This window comes from Homo sapiens, chromosome 17 (genome assembly GCF_000001405.40).
Source record: "Homo sapiens chromosome 17, GRCh38.p14 Primary Assembly".
Taxonomy (NCBI): domain Eukaryota; kingdom Metazoa; phylum Chordata; class Mammalia; order Primates; family Hominidae; genus Homo; species Homo sapiens.
The window spans coordinates 67485972-67500714 of NC_000017.11; the positions used below are offsets into that span (position 1 = coordinate 67485972).

The 14743-nt window shown below is 43.7% G+C and overlaps 1 protein-coding gene across 3 annotated transcripts in view, besides 2 other annotated features; it reads left to right on the forward strand.

The window, feature by feature from the left end:
- The window catches only part of PITPNC1 (phosphatidylinositol transfer protein cytoplasmic 1), a 319976-nt gene that overhangs the window by 108691 nt on the left and 196542 nt on the right, over positions 1–14743 (forward strand). The window lies entirely within an intron of this gene.
- Positions 1363–1452: an enhancer, noted in NCBI's record as "active region_12625". NCBI's record gives its function as "activates an Ori minimal core promoter by ATAC-STARR-seq in GM12878 lymphoblastoid cells {active_cell/tissue: GM12878}" and the evidence as "EXISTENCE:reporter gene assay evidence [ECO:0000049][PMID:35858748]".
- Positions 3302–3541: an enhancer, noted in NCBI's record as "active region_12626". NCBI's record gives its function as "activates an Ori minimal core promoter by ATAC-STARR-seq in GM12878 lymphoblastoid cells {active_cell/tissue: GM12878}" and the evidence as "EXISTENCE:reporter gene assay evidence [ECO:0000049][PMID:35858748]".

Here is a 14743-nt window from a genome sequence, read left to right on the forward strand (position 1 = left end):
TAATTGAATTTAGAAGCAATAGTATTAAAATTTCTTCTGGTGATGCTCCTTAGACGCATTAAATAAAATATCAAAAGTCACAATTGATTAAACTGAAACTTTAGCATGAGAGTTATTAAGCATTAAATTCTGCTGCTAGAGGTTTTTATTTTATTTTTTCCTGACATGTACTCAGAAAATTCTCCCTTTACATAATTTATGGTCATTCTGCTGTTTAAATGTGCCAAAAAATGTTCTCGGAGTTTTGGCAGTGTTTTGAAATAGAGTATATTATCTTAGTCTTGGGCTATATATATATAATGAACACTCAATATATATTGATGGTGGTGTTTTCATGAGTTGAAGTCTCGCTGTGGGCAAAGGAAGGAATAGGCTATTCTATTACATCTGATGCTTAGCCTGCCTTTAATGAGTAATGTAGAAAAATAGACCTCTTCTTCCTCCTATGGCAAGTCTGTATGTAGTCTTGCTAAGCTTGTGTCTGCCCACAAATCCTAATGAGAAGATGGCATTGATCGGAGATGGTAGCAAAGTACAGCTGGGATACTGCTGTCCATATGTTCCATGGTTCCAGAATTCCAAGGACTACAGACAGCCTTGTAGAAATCACAAAGCATGAGTGATAGTTATAAGCAAAGAGGTCTTCTCCTTTTTATCCAAGGACAAGCAAATGGCAGGGAGGCAGAAAGGTGACGTTTTGAATCTGTAGACACATAACGAGGAATGTGGTTGACTGAAAAGTGTCTATGCATTTAGGGCGGTGAGAGCAGACAGTTAGGGGCATCCAGGAAACCTCCTCCTCTCTTGCCTTTCAGGGTGTCTCCTGGAGTCCCGAGTGTGGCATGTTCTGCATTCAAGAGTATTGTGGAGGCCAGACGTGGTGAAACCCCATCTCTACTAAAAATACAAAAATTAGCTGAGCGTGGTGGTGCATGTCTGTAATCCCAGCTACTTGGGAGGCTGAGGCAGGAGAATCACTTGAACCTGGGAGGCGGAGGTTGCAGTGAGCTGAGACTGCACCACCGCACTCCAGCCTGGGCAACAGAGCAAGACTCTGTCTAAAAAAAAAAGAGTACTGTGGAATTCATTCTTATGTAGCTGTATGAAAAAGAAAACCAACATCATAAAATATGAGTACTAGTTTGAAGTCCATTACAGACAAATCACACCATTTTTATGTTAGACCACCCCAACCACTTCCCTTTTTTGTTTTTGTTTATTTTGACAGGTTCTCGCTTTGTCACCCAGGCGGAAGTGTAGTGGCACGATCTCAGCTCACTGCAACCTCTGCCTCCCAGGTTCAAGCAATTCTCTTGCCACAGCCTCCTGATTAGCTGGGATTATAGGCACTCACCACCACACCAGGGTAATTTTTGTATTTTTAGTAGAGGTGGGGCTTCACCATGTTGACCAGGCTGATCTCGAACTCCTGGCCTCAAACGATCCACCCACCTCGGCCTCCCAAAGTGCTGGGATTACAGGCATGAGCCACCACACCCAGCCTCCTTTTTGTTATTGCTCAGATTTACAGAAATTTATTTTGCAAAATTTTACCTCGAAGAAACAAGCGAGTGTTTCTCTGTATCCATCTGAGCTCAGGAGGATGCCCAAGTGAAAGGTGTTTAATCCAACTTCTGTTGAATGATTGACTTCTCAGGGACTGTTAATTTGTAAACTCTAAGAAAGGGGGAAAGTTTAAGTTTTTCCGGCTGCCAAACTTTGGGCTTCATGGTGAATCATCAGGACAGGCTTTCTAGGCCAAGTGTAAGCGCTGTTCTGGGGGCCACTGGTCTGAGGGTGGGGGAGCAGGATGTGTTTATTTAGATGCACGGCCAGAGTTCACACACTTGGGGTTTGGGATCAGCCTCCAGGGCCTAAGTAATTTCTCCCAGGAGATGTCTTCGCATCTTATACCCTGTATAGGATCATCACGGACTGCTGATTGAAGAAAAGGGTTAGGACCACTGATCAGAGAGAAGCTACGATTTTTTCTTTTCTGTCTGTCACAGAGGTGTCAGTAAAGGAGAAAGCTTACTTGAAAGGTTTGGATTACCGAGCAGCTCAAAAGAGCTGTTGCTGGCGGGATTTTCTCCTTGCTGAAGTTTTTCTTTGCCCCTAGAATACTAAGCAAAAAGGAAAGAAAAGATGAAAGGTAAGTCCCTCTTTAAAAATACATTGAGTCAACCCATCGCAGAAAAATACAGATTTCTCAACTGACAAATAAGCGGCATCACTGCATTTGGGAATCAGAAAAAGTCCCCACGATAAAGTTATTTGGGAATTAATCAACACTTGGCTCATCCTAGGCGTGGAGCGCTTCGGAATTCACCTCGTGTTGCTTGGAAGCTGGCAGCCCGGTTGTTATATAATGTGAACCCAGAGGCCTGCCAGACGGCCCTCCCTGTGCCCCGGGGGAGTTACAAGGCTCTGTAACTCTTGGAGTCAGTCAATCCTGCAGAACAGAGTCCAGGGGCCTGGTGTGTGCTGTGTTTTACAGATGACACATTAACCTTTGAAATTCTGTCCTCAGTCACCTTCATCAATGCCTGAGCGAACGAAGGAAGGGCCACATGTGGGCTCTTTTTTTGTTCACTTTTCCAAATGGAGATAAGACATGTAACAAAATTTACCATCTTAACCATTTTTAAATGTACAGTTCTGTGTTATTAAGTGCATTCCTATCGTTGTACCAGTATCACCACTATCCATCTGCAGAACTCTGCATCTTGAAACTCTGTGCCTGTTCAGTGGTAACTGCCTGTTCCCCTCCTGGCAGCCCCTGGCAGCCGCCCGTCTCTGAATTTCAGAGCCACTTTCTGTCCCTGAGTTTGACTACTCTAGGTACTCACATAAGTAGAATCACACTGTATTTGTCCTTGTGTATCTATCTGGCTTATTTCTCTTAGCGTAATATCCTCAAGGTGCATCTGTGTGGTAGTGTGTATCAGAATTTCCTTCCTTTTCAGGAGTGAATAATATTCCATTGTACGGATATACCATGTTTTGTTCATCCATCCATCCCTCCGTGGATGGACATGGGTTGTTTCCACCTTTTGACTATTGTGAATAGTACTGCCATGAACACAGTTATACAAATACCTGTTTGAGCCTCTGCTTTCTGTTCTTTGGGGTACTTTCCCAGAATTGGAATTGATGGGTCATACGGTAACAGACTCCTTTTTTAAAAAAGAAAAGTATCTTGAGAACTTGGGAGAGCCACCCTAGGAGTACTTACTGGGCTGGATTGTTTGCTCCGTCTCCTTTTGCCTCCAGGTACAGCCCATAGGCCTCTGTCCTCACAGATGTGGTATGGAAGAGTGGCCCTGTTCCAGGGTGAGATCACCAGTGTAGACCTTCTCAGTTTGACCCTACATCTGATGAACCCCCAAAAGCACAGAGAGGATCTCAGAATGAACTAAAGATCATGGGCTATAAATGACTCCTTCCTTCTCCTTTTCTTCCTTGGATGACAAAGATTGTGGTCACTATACAGTTATGGTGGCCTCAAGTCTGGTAAATCAATGATGTTTCATGTTAGCTGCTCACGGGATTCACCTTGTGGCTTATTGATGTCCAGACCCCGCCTCTGATCCCGCCTCTAGAGATTCTGATTTCATTGGTTTGAGTCCTGGCCTCAGCATGGGGACTTTTGAAAGCTTCCAGGCGAGTCTAATATGCAGCCAGGGTTCTGTAGCACCCAAGTGAATTACTGAACCCGAACCTTTTCTCAATCCCTTTCATGCTGTCTGTTGTCTTTTTGGTTATTTCTTTTTTCTTTTTCTTTTTTAATTTGAGATGGAGTCTCGCTCTGTCCCAGGCTAGAGTGCAGTGATAGGATCTTGGCTCACTGAAACCTCTTCCTGCCAGGTTCTAGCAATCCTCCCACCTTAGCCTCCCGAGTAGCTGGTATTACAGGTGTGCACCACCACGCCCGGCTAATTTTTGTATTTTTAGTAGAGACGGGGTTTCACCATGTTGGCCAGGCTGGTCTCGAACCTCAAGTGATCCATCCCCCTCGGTCTCCCAAAATGCTGGGATTGCAGGCGTGAGCCACCACACCCAGCCAGGTTATTTCTTTGGAGCATATCTTCAGATTTGTACATCTCAGCCCAAGGTTTAAAGATTTGGAAACAGGCTTTTCTGTGTGTGTGTGTGTGTGTGTGTGTGTGTGTGTGTGTGTGTGTGTGTGTTTTAATTAACGAGGATGCATTATGTAACTTTGGAGCTAAGAATGAGGAATGAGGATGCATTATGTAACTTTGGAGCTAAGAATGAGGAGACCTGGGTCATACTTGTGTGTGTGTGTGTGTTATTATCTAACCAGGGATAATGAATTATTTAACTTGGCAGGATCTCAGTTTGTTGTTGTTGGTTTTTTGTTTTTTGTTTTGTTTTTTTTTAAATCTTGGCTTTAAAATTAGGGCATAGATTGGCAAACCAGATAAAAGAATGAAATTAATGATTTTTTTAAAAATGTCCCCTCTAGCTCTGACATACCACGACTCTGAATGAACAGGTGGAATTGATGGGGAGTGAGGAGGCTTGGAGAGAGAGCCCCCGGGTGTGAACCCATCCTGTTCTAACAATAATGAGCTTTGGGATGAAGAGCCTCCCCGCAGGCAGGGGACTGCTGGGAGTTTCTGGTGTCCCAGAAGAAGCCTTCAGGGCAGCTCTGATCAGTAAATAAAAGGATACGAAATAAAAATCTCAAAGGATCCGTAATGAATAAGAAAGCAGGAATGTCGTCCCCAGGGAGAAATGAGTTGGGGGCTTTGTCAGTCACGAGAGAACATAGCACAGGACTCTGGGTCCAATGGAGCTGAACGTCAGCGCCTCTGTCCCCACGAAAATAGTAACTTCCCTGACACCATCCACCTGATGCCAAGAGCTGTTTATATCAACATTTCTTCTCGGGATTCTTTCAAACTTTATACTTACTTCTCTCCTCCTCTGATTCTATTCAAGGAATGTGAATGGCTGAGGTTTTGTTTTGTTTTGTTTTCCTCTCTAGATTAGCACAGCTAATACAGTGGAATTGTGATGCCAGGGTCTATTAGTGTAGAGAAACAAAGAATGCAGTCCTGCCCTGGGCACCAGGGTTTACTTCCATGGTGACTTCTTCTTAAGCCCATGGGAAAGTGAGAGGGAGGTGACCTCCTCACAGTCGGCTCAGCCTCTGGAGCCCGGAGCCGGAGCCAGCCCCATAGTGTGTGGCCATCAGGATGACGCAGAGAGGCGTGTGAACGCAGCCGGCCACTGCAGCTGGTGCACTTGACTCTGGGCAGCGCGTTCCCAGGAACCCGCAGGACACTGAGGACCGTGCGTGATGTAACCCAGATCTGCCAGATGTGGGAGCCAGCATGAGTCACAATGCCGGGCCGTTCATTAAGAAATGCTTTCTGGGTCATCTGGGTGCAGGGCACTGCTGCTTCCCTGCTGTCCAGGGTTGGAGGCATCAAGTCTGCCCACCAGGAATCCCCAAGTTCATGAACATCTGTCTAAAATTATAGCCTGGTTTTCTGAGCTGATGTGGCACAGAGCACACGCACGCTGATGGTCTCTGGCTTGTAATTTGTTAAAGGATCTCACCACTTTGGTTAGTGGTGGGAAATCAGATAATAAAAACATACGCCCAGGTGGGAGGGTCACTTGAGGCCAGGAGTCTAAGACCAGCTCCAGCAACATAGTAAGACTCCGTTTCTGCAAAAAGATAAAATTACCTGGGCATGGCATGCCTGTAGTCCTAGCTACTTGGGAGGTTGAGGTGGGAAGATGGCCTGAGCCCAGGAATTCAAGGCTGCGGTGAGCTGTGATCACACTACTGCCTCCAGCCTGGGTGACAGAGTGAGACCCTGCCTCAAAACAACGACAAAACCAAAAACCAAAAACCCCAAAAGTGTAAGTTGCTGTGAGGTTTCTGCACATTTTAGTAAGATCAGAAATGAGGTGGGGTGTTGGGAGAAGCCAAAAACTGTGCTGGCATTGTGCCAGTGAAATGCCAGCAATCACGAGCGGTCTTCCTTTTTTTTTCTTTTTTTTTTAAAAAAAAAAAGATGTGCAAGATGCCTTATGGTGAATAACAAGTATATTTCTGAGAAGTTGTAAACTAACTCCTTAAAAAAAATCCTTATGGATATAAGACATACAGTCAGAAAAGTTCATGCATGCATCCCTGGGTAAAATCTGACACCCAAGTAACTGTAGCAAGTTGAAGGGTGGCCCCTTAAATATCCCCCAGAGCCTGTGAATATGATCTTATTTGGAAGGAGACCTTTGCAGACATAATTCAATCAAGGATCTTGAGATGAGATCATTCTGGATTACCTAAGTGGACCCTAAATCCAATGACAAGTGTCCTTACAAGAGACAGAAGAGGAGAAGACACAGACACACAGGAAGGAAACATATGAAGCAGGAGGCAGGGATTAGAGCACTGGAGCTGCAAGGAACAGCTGAGCCACCAGAAACCAAAAGAGGCAACAAACGGGTGGTCCCCTCGTGCCTTTGGAGGGAGCCTGGCCCTGCTGACACCTTGATTTCTTTTTTCTGGCATCCAGAACTGTGAGCCAGTAAACTCTGTTGTGTGAAGCCACCAAGTTTGTGGTGATTTGATAAGGAAACTAATAAAATCATCACACCTAGATGAAGAAGCAGAATGTTTCCAAAACCCTGGAAACTCCCCCTCAAGCCTAGTTTCTGTTTTCACACCGCCCCAGGACAGCTACTGTCCTGATTTCTAACGCCGGGGATAGGTTTTATGCCATTTGAACATAATAAATGGAATCTTACGGTGCATCGTCTTCTGTGTCAGATTTCTTCCCCTCCACGCTTTGTGAGATGTGTTTATCCTGTTGTGTGTTTGATGATTCTCACTGCTGCTTAGTTGTAGTGTTCCACGGTGTGAATATACCACGATTTATTTACTCTTCTCCTGTTGGGGGCATTTGAGTTTGGGGCTACGACAAAGAGTGCTGTTACAAATTCTGTTTCGTTCCTTTCTGATGAATATACGTGGGCGCTTTTGTGAGTTACATTCTCAGGAGCTGAATTGTTGGGTCATAGGCTATCTGTGTGTTCAGCTTCAGTAGCTATTGCCAGTTTTCCTATTAATTTTTTAAACACCCCATCCGATTTGGAATCTCTGTGTGAAATGGAGAATCCAATGGTAGATTCAGTAACCACTCTTTAATGTGGCTATTTTATAAGGTCCAAATGTTGAACGCAGGGTTTTCTTGGAGCAAGTTCCTTCCTTAGATCACAATCAGGAATATTCCATGTCTCAGAAGAGCCCATTACAGGGCTGGGCAGGCGTGAAAGCACACCAGTTTCTGGGAATCGGAGAGGCTGGGCTACTGACTGTGAATTTTAAATATTCTTAACCCATCGCTGGAGTGATGAATAGCACAGCTGTCGTATCCTCCATCTCGAGACTCAGAAATAAATTTGCAGTCTTTTAGGAGCTCCAGTTTTAATTCTCCTTTCCAGCTTTTAAGCTCTATGCTCCATAACTTAGGATGCAACCAAATGATATGCAGCATTTCTAAATATTCTGCTTTGATAAGTGAGTGGAAATAGTGCTGGTACAGCGGATAAGACTAGATTAAAACCCAGGGTCCCCAGCTGTCTAAAGAAGATGTGCTGCTTTGGATTTGCCTGATGCCCCAAGATCTTTCTGGAAATGGGGGAGGGTGGCTTTGACCTTGGAAATACTGGAAAGGGGAGGAAAGTGTGGTGATGGTACCTCAGAGGACTGTTTTCCCTCCAGACGTGAGATGGGTGGGATGGTAGCAACCTAGCTATCATTATGACTGATAAGCCTTCTTTTTCCCAATACAAAAGCAATTTGTCTTCCTTGCAGAATGAGAAAAATTCAGGTCCACCAGAAAATAACCACAAACCTGACACCCACAGTTAACCACTGTTGAATATATTTGCATATATACATTTCATATACAAACCTTTCTTCCCATACAAACATTTTATTTCTGCAGTCAACGAGTATGTATTGAATGCCTGCCATGTGCCAGTCCCCAGGGATAGAGCATGAATAAAACAGACAAACCATCCCCTGTCCTTGCGGAGCTGACCTTCCAGTGGGAGCTTATTATACGATACATATGGTACTAAAATGAGATCTTATGGTACATGTTTCTTATCGGTTGCTTTTTTCCACTAACAATATGTGTAACCTCTTTCTTTCTTTCTTTCTTTCTTTTTCTTTCTTTCTTTCTTTCTTTCTTTCTTTTTGAGACGTAGTCTTGCTCTGTTACTCAGACTGGAGTGCAGTGGCGCAATCTTGACTCACTGCAACCTCTACCTCCTGGGTTCAAGCAATTCTCTGCCTCAGCCTCCCGAGTACCTGTGATTCCAGGCACCTGCTACCACGTCTGGCTAATTTTTGTTTTTTTAATAGAGACAGGGTTTCACCATCTTGGCCAGGCTGGTCTTGAACTCCTGTCCTCGTGATCCACCCGCCTCGGCCTCCCAAAGTGCTGGGATTACAGGCATGAGCCACCGTGCCCAGCCCTGTAACCTCTTTCAATGGCAACAGATATTCAGATATAACTTTTATAGATTTATCAATGAACTAAATCCCCAGTGGTTTTGCTTGCTGGTGGTGGCCAGCACATTCGGAGATGGTGACTGCTCTGATAGTACAGGTCCCAGAGTGCCAAAAGGACCAGGGTGCTGCCATTGACTTGCAGAAGCAAGAAGTAGGCTGGGTGCAGTGGCTCACGCCTGTAATCCCCAGGAATTTGGGAGGCTGAGGTGAGCAGATTGCTTGAGTCCAGGAGTTCAAGACCAGCCTGGGCAACATGGCAAAACACCATCTCTACAAAAAATACAAAAATTAGTCGGACGTGGTGCTGCATGCCCGTGGTCCCAGCTACTCAGGGAAGCTGAGGCAGGAGGATCATTTGAGCCCAGGGGGTCAAGGCTGCAGTGAGCTGTGACTGTGTCACTGAACTTCAGCCTGGGTGACGGGGAGACCTCGTCTCAAACTGGCAAAAAAAAACAGCAACAACAACAAGTAGAAGTAAACTTTGGCAATATTGAGCCATGGAGTTGTTTTTTTTTTTGTTTTTTTTTTTTTTTTTTTTTTGAGACGGAGTCTGGCTCTGTCGCCCAGGCTGGAGTGCAGTGGCGCTATCTCGGCTCACTGCAAGCTCCGCCTCCCGGGTTCACGCCATTCTCCTGCCTCAGCCTCCCGAGTAGCTGGGGCTACAGGCGCTCGCCACCAGGCCCGGCTAATTTTTTTGTATTTTTTAGTAGAGATGGGGTTTCATCATGTTAGCCAGGATGGTCTAGATCTCCTTACCTCATGATCCGTCCGCCTCAGCCTCCCAAAGCGTTGGGATTACAGGCATGAGCCACCGCGCCCGGCCTCTGAGCCACGGAGATCTTTTTTAAAAAAACTTTTATTTTAGGTTCAGGGGTACATGTGCAGGTTTGTTATACAGGTAAACTCATGTCATGGGGGTTTGTTGTACAGATTATTTCATCACCCACTTACTAGGCCTAGTAGCCAGTAGATACGTTTTCTGATCCTCTCCTTCCTCCCACTCTCCACCATCAAGCAGGCCCCCAATGTCTGTTGTTCCCCTCTTTGTGTCCGTGTGTTCTCATCATTTAGCTCCCACTTGTAAGTGAGAATATGCAGTATTTGGTTTTCTGTTCCTGCATTAGTTTGCTAAGGATAATGGCCTACAGCTCCATCCATGTTCTTGCAAAGGACGTGATCTCAATTCCTTTTTGTGGCTGTATAGTATTCCATGAGCTGTGGAGATGTTGAGGTTCTTTGTTACCAAGCATTAACTGGCCAGTCCTGACCAATACAGCTATGGTCATAACATATAAAGCACCTTAAGGGAAGAGGACGTTTAGCTAACTCTATGATGTTGTCACGCTGACATGAATAGAGAGGGTTTTGTTTTTTAAGCCAAAGACGTTAATCCATTAATTGGCATTTAAAAGGTAGAAATGCCATTGGATGTAGGAAAGTTCATCTGTATTTGACCATTTTTTATTTATTTTTGACTCTTTATGCTTATAATTTTGGAAATTCCAAAATACAAAGGAGTTTTTGGTGATGCTGGGAATTGAATTCTGAGGAGAAAATGTTGTTGGAATTATAGAGAGTGCTTTTGGAATACTACCAAGCATAGTACTTGACCTTAGAGGAAAAAATGCTGGGGAGCACAACTTAAGATGGGAAAAAAGAACAAGTTTTTAAAATATCATCCCTCTAACGAATGCTTCCGTGATGGAAACACTCCCCTTTCCCTGTTATCGTTCTTCATTTCCTCCTACTCTTTACTTTAACTACAAGTTCTTGTATGCGGTTATTCCCCCATGTAAATTACATGAAAAATAGTTTTAGTCTTCTAACTACATTATCCAATATGCAGCTTTTTAACTAGTTCCAAGAGGCATTTGAGGCCCATGCGTGGCTCCCTTTGAGTTGAGTCATCTAAAGGTTATTGCTCGTCTTAGTAAAACCTGTGCTGTGTTGAGTGCACCGGTGACGACAATGACCCCAGTCTTGAGTCCCAGCCTCCCCGTGTTTACTATGGAATTATCACAGTTCCACTCTTGAGAAATATGGAAAGCACTCACTGTTCACTCTGGTTTAACCCTCCTGAGAGCAGGAGGTATGATTAATCCTGGAAATAATGGGTTCACTCTGTGGGAGCGCTTCAGTGATTTTCAACCCCAGACTCATACATGGTGATTGAAAAGAACTAGTGTGATCACAGAAGGTTAGCAGAATTATTTCTACTTAGAATAGAAATGAGAAGGTTGAGGGTCGTAATTTCAAAAATGGAAAAGTAGGTTTTAAAAATTCAAATGTAATACATAAATATTCCAAATATATTTAGAGCGAGAAGCCTTCTTTCCGCCCTCCCAATTCTGCCCTTCTCTGCAGAGCTTACCATAGTTTAAAAAAAAAAAAAAGTGCTGTTTTATCCTTTTGGACCCTATACTGTGCATTTATAAATGTGAGAAAACCAGGCATGGTGGTGTGTGCCTGTGGTCCCAGCTACTCGGGAGGCTGAGGTGGGAGGATCGTTTGAACCCAGGAGTTCAAGGCTGTTTTTAGCTATGACTGTTCCGGTGAATAGCCACTGCACTCCAGCCTGGGCAACACAGTAAGAGCCTGACGTTAAAAATAATTAACATGAGAATAAAACTTATCTATGTTTTTTGTTTTTACATAAGTAGTCACACAAGACATATTATTATAAACCTCCTTTTTTTTTTTTTTGAGACGGCGTCTCATTCAGTCGCCCAGGCTGGAGTGCAATGGCGCAATCGTGGCTCACTGCAACCTCCGATTCCCCAGCCTCAGCCTCCCGAGTAGCTGGGATTAAAGCTTAATTTATAATGGAAGTCACCCTGTGCAGGCACACTTATAGGTACTGTATTCTTTGGAGCAGTAGCTCATTAAATTGATAAATAAAACTTTATTTTCTTAATGATGGACATTTAGGAAGTCGTCTTTTTTTTTTTCTATTACAAGTAAGATAAACCTGTGTCTCCATAAACTTGTTCGTGTCTTTTTTTTTTTTTTTTTTTTGAGATGGGGTCTCTGTTGCCCAAGCTGGAGTGCAGTGATGTCATCATGGCTCACTGCAGTCTCGACCTCCTAGGCTCAAGCGAACCTCCCATCTCATCCTCCTGAATAGGTGGGACCACACGTGTGAGCCACCACGCCCAGCTAATTTTTGTATTTTTTGTAGAGACATGGTTTCGCTATGTTTTCCAGGCTGGTCTTGAACTCCTGCACTCAAGCAGTCTGCCTGCCTCGGCCTCCCAAAGTGCTGGGATTACAAGCGTGAGCCACCATGCCCAGCCTGTTTAGGTTTTTGTGCACTTGTGTATTTTTCTTTCTTTTTTTTTTTTTTCAAGATGGAGTCTCACTCTGTTGCCCAGGCTGGAGTGCAGTGGTTCAATCTTGGCTCACTACAACCTTCATTTTCCAGGCTCAAGTGATCCTCCCACCTCAGCCTCCTGAGTAGCTGGGACCACAGGCATGCGCCACCAGGCCTGGCTAATTTTTTGTATTTTTGGAAGAGACGGGGTTTGGAGTTTTCACCATGTTAGCCAGGCTGGTCTTGAACTCCTGAGCTCAAGTGATCCACCCACCTGAGCCTCCCAAAGTGCTAGGATTACAGGCGTGGGCCACTGCGCTTGGCCTCTATCTTATGTTTATTATCCATGTGTATATCATCTTCAGAAACTGGCTCCCTCATATCTCTTGCTTATTATTTCCTTTTGGGTTATCTTTTTAATTAATTTAGGAACTCTTTATATATTAGCAATATTAATCTTTAATATTGGCCGGACATGGTGGCTCAGGCCTGTAATCCCAGCACTTTGGGAGGCCGAGGCGGGCAGATCATCTGCAGTCAGGAGTTCAAGAAAATACTCCATTGTATGTATATACCATATTTTCTGTATGCATTCACCTATTCATGAACATTTAGGTTGTCTCCAACCCTTGGCTCTTGTGAATAATGCTGCAATGAACTTGGGTGTGCAAATATCTCTTTGAGGTCTTGTTTTCAACTCTTTTGGGTATATAACCAGTAGTGGTATTGCTGGATCATGTGGTAGTTCCAGTTTTAATTTTGTTAGGAAGCTTCGTATTGTTCTCCATAGCGGCTGTGCTACTTGACAAGCTCATCAATGGTGTGCAATGATTCCAGTTTCTCTACGTCCTTGCCAACACTTGTTATTTTCTGTTATTTTGATAGTGGCCTTCCTAACGAGTGTGAGGTGATATCCCATTGTGGTTTTGATTTGCATTTCCTTGATGATTAGTGGTGTTGAATATCATTTCATATACTCATGTACTCACTAGTCACTTGTGTATCTTCTTTGTTTTTTTTTTTGTTTGTTTTTGTTTTTTTTTTTGAGATGGAGTCTTGCTCTGCTGCCCAGGCTGGAATGCAGTAGCACGATCACGGCTTATTGCAACCTCTGCCTCCCAGGTTCAAGCGATTCTGTTGCCTCAGCCTCCAGAGTAGCTGGGCTTACAGGCACCCGCCACCATGCCTGGCTAATTTTTTTGTATTTTTAACAGAGACAGAGTTTCACCATGTTAGCCAGGCTGGTCTCGAACTCCTGACCTCCAGTGATCTGCCTGCCTCAGCCTCTCAAAGTGCTGGGATTATGGGCATGAGCCACGTGCCCAGCCCGTATATCTTCTTTGAAGAAATATCTATTCAAGTCCTTTGCCCGTTTTTATTTATTTTGAGAAGCAGAGTCTCGCTCTGTTGCCCATGTTGGAGTGCAATGGTGTGATCTCAGCTCACTGCAACCTTCACCTCCTGGGCTCAAGTGATCCTGCCACCTTAGCCTCCTGAGTAGGTGGGACTACAGGCAAGTGCCACCATGCCCGTGTAATTTTTTTATTTTTTTGTAGAGACAGGGGTCTCACCATGTTGCCCAGGCTGGTCTTGAACTCCTGGGCTCAAGCAATCCACCCTCCTTGGCCTCCCAAAGTGCTGGGATTATAGGCATGAGCCACTGTGCCCGGCCAGCCTGAGGAATCTTAGGAAACAAAGTAAAGACCTTGGCCTGAATAGCTGGTCTGCTACCTCCCTACTTCCTACTGCCCAGAGGCAATTACAGTCATGCACCATATAACAATATTTCAGTCAAGGAAAGATCGCATATATGATGGTGGTCTTATGAGATTATAATGCTGTATTTTTACTGTACCTTTTCTGTGTTTAGATACACATACACTTATAGTTATGTTACAGTTGCCTACAGCATTCAGTACAATAGCATGCTTTTCAGGTTTGTAGTGTAGAAGCAACATAGGTGCGTAGTAGGCTACACCATCTAGGTTTGTGTAAGAACATTCTATGATGTTTGCACGACAGAATCATTTCACACATTTCTCAGAACATATCCCCATCGTTAAGCAATGCATGACTGTACATCTGTTCTTAGTTCTTCCATTGGTGAGCCTCCATCGTTTTAAATAAATGCATATACTGTATGCTCTTTCTCAATGTATCAGTTTTAGAATTATCCATCTTCTCCCCTTGAATATATAAGTAGGCTGCAGAGGATTTAGTTTGCTTGTACTGCTTCTCAGCTTATCTTCTTCTGATGGTTAATCATTTTAAACAATTAGTTTTAGTTCTCTTAGCTACCTCTAGTTATTGCATTTCTGTCTCTGTTTCTTGTTTTGTCAGTTTTCGGCAATATTCTCTTTCCTTTCTAAATAAAACATTAAGGCCTTACCCTTTCATTTTTCTCCCTTTTACGTTGTCCAAATTCTGGATAAATGAATATGGTATATCCATAAATGGGCTATTATCTGGTAATAAAAAGGTATGAAATTCTGATATATGCTACAACATGGATGGACCATGAAAACATCATACCCAAGTGAAAGAAGCCAGACACAACGAGCCACATATTACATGATTCCATTTATATGAAATATCCAGGATAGGCACAGAAAGTTGATGAGTCATTGCCAGGGGCCTCGAGGAATACCATTAACTGCTTATGGGCACCAGGTTTCTTTTTAGGATAAGGAAAATGTTCTGAAATTAGATAGTGGTAATGGTTGTAACAACCTCATGAATATACTAAAACCCACTGTATTCTACACTTTAAAAGGACAAATTTTATGGTTTGAATTATATCTCAATTTTTTTTTAAGATTTTTTTTTTTTTTTAATTGAGAGAAGGTCTCACTCTGTCAGCCAGGCTGGAG